At 44.7% G+C, this 12,287-nt stretch overlaps 1 protein-coding gene and 1 long non-coding RNA gene across 34 annotated transcripts in view; one reads left to right on the top strand and one right to left on the bottom strand.

The window, feature by feature from the left end:
• The window catches only part of TENM2 (teneurin transmembrane protein 2), a 1,285,129-nt gene that overhangs the window by 1,250,025 nt on the left and 22,817 nt on the right, over positions 1 to 12,287 (top strand). The gene's annotated exons all lie outside the window — the stretch shown is intronic.
• Positions 530 to 3,319, bottom strand: TENM2-AS1 (TENM2 antisense RNA 1). Its single transcript, NR_109894.1, has 3 exons — positions 3,251 to 3,319; positions 1,833 to 2,003; positions 530 to 807 (listed from the first exon to the last, which is right to left on the bottom strand). It is a non-coding gene; the product is annotated as a TENM2 antisense RNA 1 (long non-coding RNA).

Below are 12,287 nucleotides of genomic sequence, written 5' to 3' on the forward strand. Positions count from 1 at the left end.
TAATTAATGTATAATTATATGTATAATTATAATATTATAATGTAAACCCTATGTTAAATGCTTTGCTTGTATTATTTTAACTTTTTCAATAGCCCCACGAGGATAATTATTACTATCTTCATTTTTCAGATGAGAAAACAGACTCAGGGAAGCTAAATTACCTGTCCAAGGACACAATAGCTAGAAAGGGCAATGCCAGGACTCGATCCCACGTCTCTCTTTCTGTCTGACTCACTTGCCAATATGTCACATGCCTTCCTGCTTATCCGTGGTCATCCAGAGCTTCTCAGCAGAAGTGGATTCTGCTCCAGTCACTTATCTGTCACCAAGAGGGAACAGTTCCTACCATCATGCTAACCCCTTCCCTGGGGAGGGGGAATGTAATGGCATACAAAGCAAAGGCCATAACTTCCTGCACCTTACCTTCAGGTTGCGGGGAGATGGGAGAGAGGGGTAGATCATAAGTAAAAACTAATAAATAAAAATAAATAAATAACTGCAGAACAAGACAAGCACTAGGAAGTCAGTAAACAATGGAACAAAGAAAGAGTTTATCAAATGCTTTGGAATCCCTGAGAGTAGAAGGCTCAGCATCGCCAAAGCTTGGGTTGTAACTTTTTTGCTGTGTAACTGGATTGAAATCCAGCCAGCCCAGGTGACCTCCCTGCAGAGCCAGGCCCCTCCATATTAAGATTCCGCCTTTGTCTGGCTGAAGTTTAAGTCAAGTCTCCACATTAGGTTAGCAGCAGTCTCCCAGGTTTTTCTTCCTCTGCTGGTATCTGCAAAGTTGCAAACTGCAGTAGCCTCCTAAAGACAAAAATGGAATGAGATTAGTAGTTAAATCCTTAATGACTGGATTTCAGGGCTGTGTAATTGATTTTTGATATGCTGCACTGTAGAAGTTGATTATAAGTAGTAATCGTGCCTTTTCTCTGATAAATCAGTTATGCATTTTGACTAAGTTTTCCAAATAAAGATAAATGTGGCCCTAAAATAAAGTGGCTATAATCCCAACTCCAAATATTAAAACTCTTTCTTTAATAATGGTACTTGTGGTAATTAGCCCAAGTTAGGCACACAAGTCTTATAACTGAATTTCTGCCAGGGTTAGATTTGCTGGCATCGTGTTTATGCAAATCAAAACACAGTTTTATCTATCAACACCTCAACATTTAATTGTCTGGTGTTAGTTCCTGTAACAACAATCACATATCCATTTAGCTCTCTTAAATGAAAATCACTATGAGATTATAACAGGTTGAGTGGACTGAAAATGTAATTTGAAAATGAGGGAGAAAGCCTGGAATTTATTTGCATCTCATTTATTTTAATTCAGTTCGTAAACTGTTTAGTGAATGAAATGAAAGCAACTTCTGGAAATGGCAGGAGAGCAGTTGGAAGAAGGTATAAGGGAAATGTTGGGTGTGATGTGGATTGAGGGAACTGGGGAGTGGCCATTTCGTCAGATGTTTCGTGAGCCCATGGCAGGGAGTTTGCAGCCCCTAAGCCGAAGGTACCCATTGGCCCCATAAGGCTAGCAGGCTGTCTCACCATTGGCAAGATGGGCTCTTCTCTCCCTATCTATCTATCTTAGTCTTGCTGTGTCTTTTCATCCCTGCTCCACTGTCACATGAGGGCATGAAAGTTCATTTATTCAAAAGATGTTTATTAGGTGCCAACACTACAGTCAGTACCACGGAACAAGGAGACTCTAGAGAGATAAAGAAAACTGGGTGGCACCGACTAGCTAACGGTCTCATGGAGAAGACAATATTAGTAGTGTGATGTAAGCTATAATACAGGCCAAAAGCACAAAGAAAGGGATACTTAACTGTATCTGCTGGAAGAGGATAGGCCACGGCCAGGTAACAAATTAACCCTGAAATCTCATGGGCGTAACACATCGCAGTCCAAATGCATCGGGCGGCTCTTCTTAATGAGGACTTGCTCCAGTTGCTCTGTCTTGCGATCCTGCCATCTTAAGCACAGGCTCTGTGCAGTTGCTGCAGCAAGGGAAGAGAGTTTGGGTGATTCACGAGAGCTTAATAAGCAGGCCTGGATACGGCAGGCCTCACTTCCACCCACCCTGGTGAGAACACTATCAGGGAACCTCAACTGAACCACAGGGAAGCCTGGAAAATGTTGTCTTTTCTGAGTGCCTAAGAAGAAGAAGATGAACAAAGACTTGGTAAGCACGTAGCAGAGTGATCAGGTCTCCCGTTTGACAAGAGATCAGGAAGGGCTTCACAGAGGAGCTGGAATCATTTCTGTAGAGTAGTAAGAATCAGCCAGGCAGAGATAGGGAACAGAGGTGACAGGACAAAGAATGTCGCCAGTGGAAAGGCCAAGAGGCCAAAAAGGGAATGGCATTTCAGAAAACTAATTCAGTGTGGCAGTGGATGTGTTAGAGAGTAGGGTAGAAAAAGAAGATGCAGCCAGAGACTGCACATGGAAAAGAACATGGTGCCAGGCTAACATTTATCCTGAGGGCAATGGTGAGCCCTACCTGGACTTCATTAGCAGAGTGATGTGCTGGGATGTGTGGCATTAGAAAGCTCTCTCCAGCCTGGGCACAGTGGCTCATGCTTGTTTTCCCAACACTTTGGGAGGCCAAAGTGGGAGGATCATTTTCGCCTAGGGGTTCAAGACAAGACCAGCCTAGGCAATATAGCAAAACCGCAATATAGCAAAACCCTGTCTCTACAACAACAAACAACAACAACAACCAAAAAAAAAAAAAAAGTTTAAATAGCCGACCATGGCCTGGCACAGTAGCTCATGCCTATAATCCTAGCACTTTGGGAGGCCAAGGCAGGAGGATCCCTTGAGCCCAGGAGTTGGAGACCAGCCTGGGCAACATAGGGAGACCCTGTCATGGTGGCACATGCCTGTAGTCCCAGCTATTCGGGAGGCCAAGGCAGGAGGACTGCTTGAGCACAGGAGTTTGAGGCTGCAGTGAGTTCTGATCATGCCCTGTACTCCAGCCTGGGCAACAGAGCAAGACCCTGTCTCAAGAAAAGGAAAGAAAAGATCTCTCTGACTTCCTCAGGTATGGAGGAAGACAGATGAGAAGGGGACAAGATAGATGATAGGAGGAGAGGGACAGTAAGGAGGGTGCTGCATTAGTCCAAACAAGAAACTAAATCACTAGCAGCGAGGAAAGAAAGAAGGTAGGGGGAGAGATTTGAGAGATGTCTAGCACACGAGGACGAGGATTGGGCAACTAGCAGGGTTGCTGTGTCATGCTCACCTTTTGACAGGCTCTCCCCATGATCATGTAAACTGGGAAGGCTGGGTGGCCGTCCACGCTTTGTGGGCTCTGTAAAAGAGAGTGGCTGGGAGCTGAAACCCAAGCCAGAGATGTAAGATTCTGGTGGCCCCAGCCCTGCCTCTTGGAATGGAGAAGAAACTAAATGAACTTTGAAATGCAGCCACTTAACCAGCTCCATGTAATCACTGCTCCCCATGTGGAGAGCAGGGATTTGGAGAGAATGTGTGGGTATCATGCATGAAGCAAATAGCCTGAACGTCCCCGGGACTGGCAAGCTCCTGGGAGCCTGGTCAGCTGAGGGGTGTGAGGGCCCAAGGCTCTGAACATTCCTGGAGTTTAGAGAAGACCAACAATCTCAGTGAAGCCATCACAATAGAACAGTGCCCAGTGAAATTCCAACCCACCTAGGTACCCTTTCTTCCCACAATCCTCCAGACGGAGGCATCTCTTAGTGGAGGAAAGTATCAGTGGCTCTTCCTTACAGCCTGGGGAAATGTAAGATGATGGCGGATGGATAGACCGGGACCACATCCTTTCACCAAAAGCTTTGTAATGGAGTGTTAGTCCCTTCATTCCTGCCCAAACTCAGTGCAGGGAAGATTTTCATTATGCCTCCCAAGAACTCCTCAAAGAATCTCCTTTGAAAGAGTCCTCCCCCTCCTTCCCGCATTGTCCTCCATTCCTTTCTTCACTCACTCTGGCCTTGCAAAAACATGAAGCAGGCCGGGCGTGGTGTCTCACGCCTGTAATCCCAGCACTTTGGGAGGCCGAGGCGGGTGGATCACGAGGTCAGGAGATCAAGACCCTCCTGAACAAAATGGTGAAACCCCATCTCTACTAAAAATACAAAAATCAGCTGGGTGTGGTGGCGCATGCCTGTAATCCCAGCTACTCAGGAGGCTGAGGCAGGAGAATCGCTTGAACCAGGGAGTCGGAGGTTGCAGGGAGCCAAGATCGTGCCACTGCACTCCAGTCTGGCAGCAGAGTGAGACTCCCATCTCAAAAAAAAAAGAAGCAGTTACATCATGGCATCTGTGAGCTCCATAAGTGCAGGGACCAGGTCGCCCCTGTATCCCTGGTGACAAGTGCCATGTGGTGGGTACTCAGACAACAGGTGACAAAGAAAGATGTAATAACTGTGCCTTCTATAGGCGCCTTCTTAATGTGTAAATGCTCCCCCACCACAGTGGGTATAAATTCACAAATACATTGCCCCTACATCTGTCTGGAATCCTTCCACTGCAAGAGACAGGAAGTGCATTCAGACTAACTTAGAAGAGTAGGCGCTGTCTTACCTAACAGGGCCACCACAAGGGAGAAGCTGGCCTCAGAGACTCTAAGATGTCATTAAATGGTGTACTAGTCTGTTTTCACGCTGCTGATAAAGACATACCCAAGACTGGGAAGAAAAAGAAGTTTAATTGGACTTACTTACAGTTCCACATGGCTGGGGAGGCCTCAGAATCATGGCGGGAGGCAAAAGGCACTTCTTACTTGACGGCATCAAGAGAAAATGAGGAAGAAGCAAAAGCGGAAACTCCTGATAAACCCATCAGATCTCGTGATACTTATTCACTATCACTAGAATAGCACGGGAAAGATCGGCCCCCAGGATTCAATTACCTCCCCCTGGGTCCCTCCCAACACATGGGAATTCTAGGAGATACAATTCAAATCAAGATTTGGGTGGGGACACAGCCAAACCATATCAGATGGACGTCTCTCTTTCTGTTTCTCACAGCCCCCTTCCATCCCATGGCAGGGTTTCTCTCTCGGCAGTTGACCTAATTTTCTCCTACAGTAGACTAATGTCCTCTTCACATTGCGGGGGTGGGGGGTGGTCAGGCAGACTTAGCCAAAGTTGACTCCAGGCTTACATCATCACAGCTAAGTGAACCCAGAGGAAAAAGGAAGGTATCTCCCCCAGCATTTCTATTTTTCATAAAATATCTCATGGAAGAAAGATTGACCTGGCAGAGGGAGTTCACATTCCTGGGCAAATCACTGGTCAGGGAGCTGGGGATCTGTGATGAGTCAGGCAGGCACAGGTCACATGACCATACCTGTATCTTATAATAGACATCTCAGTAAAAGCACCTAGACAGGGAAGCCCTAGAAAAAAGAGGTGCCGTACCCAAAAAAGAAAGAAAGAGATACAAGGTTAAAATATAAATATCCCAAATATAGTCTACATCCTCCATCCCTCCGAAGCCTAATCATAAGGCGAAACTCCTGGCCCTGAGGATCTAAAACTCCTGGCCCTGAGGATCTCTTGAGGCTCTATTGCCTCCCACCCCAACAAGCCTTTTTTCTAGGCTTTTGGAAGAGAGAACTGAAATCAACCCCTTCTATTAAGATTTAAAACTTCTACCCTTTCCTAAAACGGATCTTGTGCAGGATGATTCTCTTTCTTTGTAAAGGAAAGCATATAACCACGCTCTAGGATATTTCTTCCTGATTGTGATTTACATAGAGATTGCAGAAGCAAGAAACAGCTACATGTGTAGGTAGCAGAACAAAAGAAAAATTGCTTCCAAGATAATCTTCCATCATGATATTGGTATTAGTGTTATTAGTATTCCAAGAAGAAGTGGGAGTTAGTAATTTTGTTTTGGCTCCCATATAATTAATATGACATTGCAATTACGTGTTGGCATGTGTTACTTTTACTTATGTGGCAAATCACAGTGACAGAGGAGGGAGGTGGGGGGATGGGCGTGCCTATGTGCATGTGAACACACACACATGAACTCAGTTCTGCGTGGAGCCCACTCAAGCCGGTCTGTTAACACACACAAGTCATTATGAAAGCCTGAATTTTCACAGCTCCTTCCTGCCACAATGCATTCATTCTTCACGTGACTAATATTTTATATTTCAAACACCTCCTGTGTTCTTGGCACTACGCTAGGCACTGAGTGTACATTAGTGAACAAAAGATTTCACCTTACATGGTGAGCAGCACTTGTGCAGGCAGAACTTGGGATAAATTTAATATTAGTTTAAATAACACATAATTAGAAGGGCAAGCCTCTGCAAACAGATTAAATAATGTATTCCCCAAGCAAACATTACTTTTGGGTGGCTTCTGTTTGGGATGATGATGTGGAAAAGTGGAAAAACCCTAATGGAGCTTATGCCTTTACCTCTTATACCTTAGCAAGGAGATAATAATCCAATAAATGTACAAACAATATATAGAAATTGTGGGCTGGGCACAGCCTGTAATCCCAGCACTTTGGGAGGCCCAGACGGGTGGATGACCTGAGGTCAGAAGTTCAAGACTAGCCTAGCCAACATGGCGAAACCCCATCTCTACTAAAAATACAAAAATTAGCCAGGTGTGGTGCGGCACGCCTATAATCCCAGCTACTTCGGAGGCTGAGGCAATAGAATCACTTGAACATGCTAGACAGAGGTTGCAGTAAGCCGAGATGGCACCACTGCACTCCAGCCTGGGTGACAGAGTGAGACTCTGCCTCAAAGAAAAAAAAAAGAAATTGTGATGGGTGCTTTGGGAAAAATGTACGGTGGAGCTAATACGGAATATATGATATAGGTTAAGCCCTCTCTGAGAAAATGACATTTGAACTGAGAACTGAATGAAGAGTAGGTAGGAATTTCCCAGGCATGGAGTTGGGGGAAAAGCCTCTATGCTAAAGCCCTAGCATGTGCAAAAGGCCCTGAGGCAGAAGAGACTTCTGCCTGTATCCTGAACAGAAGGAGAGCTCCAGTGTGGCTGGAGTAAACCAGCTGAGGGTAAGGTCAAGGGGTAGAGCCTTATCTTGTTGGCCCTTTTAAGGATCTTAGAAATACAGAAGTCTTCTGCAGATTATCCACCCGGTACATGCAAATGAGCCCTCATCGGGAGCCTCCTTCTTGGACACTAGGAAATATACAACATACCTGACTCCTGAAAGTTCAGGTCAAAGGATAACAAATATAGCTTATTCCGGTCATCTGGGCTGAGCCTCCATACCAGACACCCTCTGCCCCTTCTCACTACATCCCTACCAATGGACCACCCACCTGCACTAGAATACTCACAGCATCACCTGAAAACAGCCATGCTCTGCCTGTGCAAGGCCTTTGCTCATCCCCTGTGCTTTCATTTGCTGACCCTCCCCACCTGGAATATTCTCCCTGATTCTTCTCCCACCCTCACCTGTCCAAGCCTTACTCATACCCAGGCCCCCACTGAGCAGCGCTTTCTCTGGGAAATCATCCTCATCAGTCCCAGCTCTGGTTCCACATCCTTCCTCACTGCCACAGTTCCTTCCCTGTGTCTACTGCCATTACCACACTAAAAATGGTTTTTGTTGTTGGCTCACCTGTCGTTATCCCCCTCTGGCCTGTGGCCTGCCCCTCTAGGGCAGGGGTCATAACTGTCTTGTTCTATCTTACAACAGTCCCAGTAACAAACACAGAGTAGGTGCCCAGTAAATATTGAATGAAAGAATGAATGAATGAATGGGATTTTCCACTGACATAATGAAAATCTGCTCCCTCCCACGTTTGCCTATGAATTCCAGGTCCCAGGGGCCTTCCAGAATGACTCTAATAGGTCTTTGGAATGAAGCTTTTCAGATATTTTGAGACCACAGATGTCCTAATCATATATATATATATATATATATATATATATATATATATATATATATATATATATATATATATTTTTTTTTTTTTTTTTTTTTTTTTTTTTTTTTGAGACAGAGCCTTGCCCTGTCACCCAGGCTGGAGTGCAGTGGCACAATCTCGGATCACTGCAACCTCCACCTCCCGGGTTCAAGCCATTCTCCTGCCTCAGCCTCCCAAGTAGCTGGGACTACAGGCATGCACCACCATGCCCAGCTAATTTTTGTGTTTTCTAAGTAAAGACGGGGTTTCATCATGTTGACCAGGCTGGTCTTGAACTCCTAACCTCAAGCGATCCACCCGCCTCAGCCTCCCAAAGTGCTGGGATTATAGGTGTGAGCCACCATGCCCAGCCTAATCATATTTTCTATTCCTGATTTTCCACGTTGGAACTTTAGATCATCAGAGTTAGCAGGGTTCTTGTACCCAGTCTGATTCAGTCTGCTTATTCACTAATGTTCATTGAGCACCAAGCACTTTCCAAAACAAAATAGAGACACTAAGAAAAATAAGATAAAGTCCCGACTCACCAGTTCCCAGGCTATTACAGATGAGGAAACTGAGACATGAATGGTGAAGGTATGGTTTTGGTATGGCAAAGCTAATCAGTGACACTGATGAGTATCAAAACCGCCACTCAAACTCGGGTCTTTCCACCTGACCTCCATCCAAAACAGCAAGTCATCCAAACATAATGTTTGCTTGGGGAATACATTATTTAATGTGTTTGCAGAGGCTTACCCTTCTAATGATGCATTATTTAATTATTATATTAAATTTATATTTAATTATTAATATTAAATTTATAGCAAGTTGTTTTGTCTCCACAAGCACTGATCCCAATGTAGCATTGAGTCTTGTTGTGTGGGAGCTGGGGATAGCTACTTTTTAAATCCCAGGCCGGGCGCGGTGGCTCATGCCTGTAATCCCAGCACTTTGAGAGGCCAAGGCGGGCAGATCACAAGGTCAGGAGATCAAGACCATCTTGGCTAACACGGTGAAACCCCGTCTCTACTAAAAAAATACAAAAAAATTAGCTGGGCATGGTGGCGGGCGCCTGTAGTCGCAGCTACTCAGGAGGCTGAGGCAGGAGAATGGTGTGAACCCGGGAGGTGGAGCTTGCAGTGAGCCCAGATTGCGCCACTGCACTACAGCCTGGGAGATAGAGTGAGACTCCATCTCAAGAAAGAAAGAAAGAGAGAGAGAGAGAGAGAGAGAGAGAGGGAGGGAGGGAGGGAGGGAGGGAGGGAGGGAGAGAGAAGAAAAGAAAAGAAAAGAAAAGAAAAGAAAAGAAAAGAAAAGAAAAGAAAAGAAAAGAAAAGAAAAGAAAAGAAAAGAAAAAATCCCAGAAGACTGACCCGGAAAGAAAATGAAGATGTCCTCTAGGCCAGGCTTTACCTCTGGGTAGGTAAATAACTAAACTCTCCAAGGCAAACTCTTCTGCTTTTAAACGTCGCCAGACAGGGAGACTCTCGTGACCCCCCTCACTAATCTTTTTTGGGTTTCCCATACTCAAAGCAGGATGGGCAAAGGGTTCTTCTATACGTCTAACTGAAATCTCTCCTGCTGTGTTACAATTCCGTTTCCTGGAGGGGATCCAGCCCAGTGTAATTTCCTCCCTCATGTTTCTCAAATCACTAGCTCCCGTCATTGCGCCTGGAGCTAAGTTAGAGTCACCAGTTATAGGCCCAGCAGGGCCGTTTTGAAGACAGCGTTTCCTTTTCTCCAGGTTTTTTATGAGCTTCCTTGTGACAGGCGTATGCTTGGTGAGATCAAAACGTTCTGGGGGGATATTCTGCAGGGGAAACCACTTCCCAAAGTCTGCCCTCTGCAAAAATAAAAAAGCATGCTAAATAGCTGAGTTTTATTAACTGGGGAAGCCAGGCTGAGGAAAATGCCCGATAATTAAAAATAATGGCTTCCTTACAAACACAAAATTGTATTAACTTAAAAATTGGTTTCTCTATCACTGAATTCCTACCAAGCCGACTGGGAAGGGAATCGTGTTGATCCCGGCAGTGAAAATAATTCAAAATAACTTTTATGTTCTCCAGGAAGCCTCAAGGTTAATTTAAATATTGCTAGCTGGGTAATTTAATTCAGAATAAGAGAACATTGCAGCTAAATTAAAGCTCCCACATGCTCTAAACTGGGGGGGCAGGTATCCTCAAAGGGCCGATCGTGCCTGTTGGACCCTCCAGCATCTCGCACCCACAGCCGGGGCACCCCCCTTTATAAATGGCACCCTCATAATTAAAGAAATTTGATTAGATTACACAACTGGCCTGAACTCCTTGGCTCACCTTCCAGTGAATTTTTCAGATTTAATTATTAGAAGGATTGGGCATTTTAATAGAAATTTTCACATTTCAAAGTTAACTCAAACCTGTGCTATCAAAAAATCCCATTGTCCCAGGGATATGGTAAATTTGCAAGTAAAAACCCACCCTAAGTTATCCATGGCTAATGGCTAGCACCTATCATTACTTCTTTATAGTTGGTGCACCTGGGTCAATGGTCAGAGGCCTCTCAGCTCTAAGTAACAGCAGTAAATCCCAGGGTGGCAGTCAGAGGTTAGGGACCCCTCTTCTTTGTTTACCCAGTATTTAGTTCTTTTGTAATCCCATCCAAGCACTAACCAGGCCTGATCCTGCTTAGCTTATGAGACCAGGAATGTTCAGGGTTCTTTCTGTAATCTAAGCACCCTCACACACTAATATCATCCTTATTATGATAGTCATGATCACATATATTATTTACATGTTGGTCTTTCCCATGATTACATATTATAGTATATTATGCACACATATGTACATCTATACACACATATGATTATATTATGGTTATATATGTGATTTTCCCATTGGTCTTTCCCAGGTAACTAAAGATAAGGCCTTATATCACACTGAGTGTATTTTAACCAAGAGTACACATCAGAATCACCCAGGGAGGTTTTAAAAATCAAAAATCCACAGCTGGGCACGGTGGCTCATGTCTGTAATACCAGCACTTTGAGAGACTGAGGTAGGCAGATCACTTGAGGTCAGGAGTTTGAGACGAGCCTGACCAACATGGCGAAACCCCGTCTCTACTAAAAAAATGTAAAAATTAGCCAGGCATGGTGGTGCACCTCTGTAGTCCCAGCTACTCGGGAGGCAGAGACATGAGAATCACTTGAACCCAGGGGGCAGAGGTTGCAGTGAGCCGAGATCGTGCCACTGCACTCCAGCCTGGATGACAGAGCGAGACTCTGTCTCAAACAAATAAAAATCAACAAGACCCAAACCCCTATTCCCTGAGGAGCTGATTCAGCAGGCGTGGAGCCAGCCGAGCAGCAGAGCTTTAAGAGAGTGTCCCATGTGGTTTAGAATTGCATGCTTGATGGAAAGCCTGTAGTCCAACACCCCTCAATCCTAGAGGTGTACAACCTGGAGGTTAAGACAGCAAGCTCTGTATGGGGATCCTAGCTCTACCACTGAGTATTTATCTAAACTTGAGCAAGTCACTTAAACCCATCTATATCTTGTGTGCAAAATGGGGATGATAATAATGCCTGCCTGAGAGTGTTGTTGTGTAAATTAGACAAAACAAGGGCAATGCTGAGAATAACACTCAGCCTGTGTAAATGCTCAACATGTTGCTGTTGCTGTGGTTTTTCTTCCTTGTATACCAGAGCAGACACCAAAGCCTGGCATTAGCTGACACTCAATGTTCAATAATTAATAAATGCACTAGGGCCCTATGATATGAGCAAAAAGAAAAAAAAATATAAGAAAAGGGAAGGAGGAAAAACTAAGGATGGCCAAGGGGATGGAAATAAGTAGGCATGATGGCAAGTCCCCAGCAGTTGCCTCCAAAAACCCTGGAAATCCTTCCTCATTGTTGCATCATTCATTCTGCCTAACAAAATGTTGGAGAGGTCTTGAACCAAAATCTGAAACCCATAGGTTTAAGAATGATGGTGGCCTTCCGCAGTTGTCCCAGATGAACCAACCCGATGTGACCAAGCTTCTGTTGGCAGAGGAGAAGACCTATCTTTCTGACCACCACTGTGTGTTTTGCTCTGAAAATGATGGCTCCAATCCCGTATAATTCAGACGGCATTAACTTTTGGACCTGTTTTTAAAAAAATAAAAAATCCTACTACTCAGCCTTTGCCTTCTTGACTATTCCCAGTTGCTGGAAGTTGTTGATAGGAATCTTCCACTTGAAGTTAGGGTTCCTTATAATCCCAAGAACTCACCACCTTTATTTCCCTCCCCATGCTTTGATGCATTCTCTTTTCTTTTTCTTTTTGTTCTTTTTTTTTTTGAAACAGAGTCTCACTCTGTCCCCCAGGGTGGGGTGCAGTGGCATGATCTTGGCTCACTGCAACCTC

Source organism: Homo sapiens, chromosome 5 (assembly GCF_000001405.40).
Source record: "Homo sapiens chromosome 5, GRCh38.p14 Primary Assembly".
Taxonomy (NCBI): domain Eukaryota; kingdom Metazoa; phylum Chordata; class Mammalia; order Primates; family Hominidae; genus Homo; species Homo sapiens.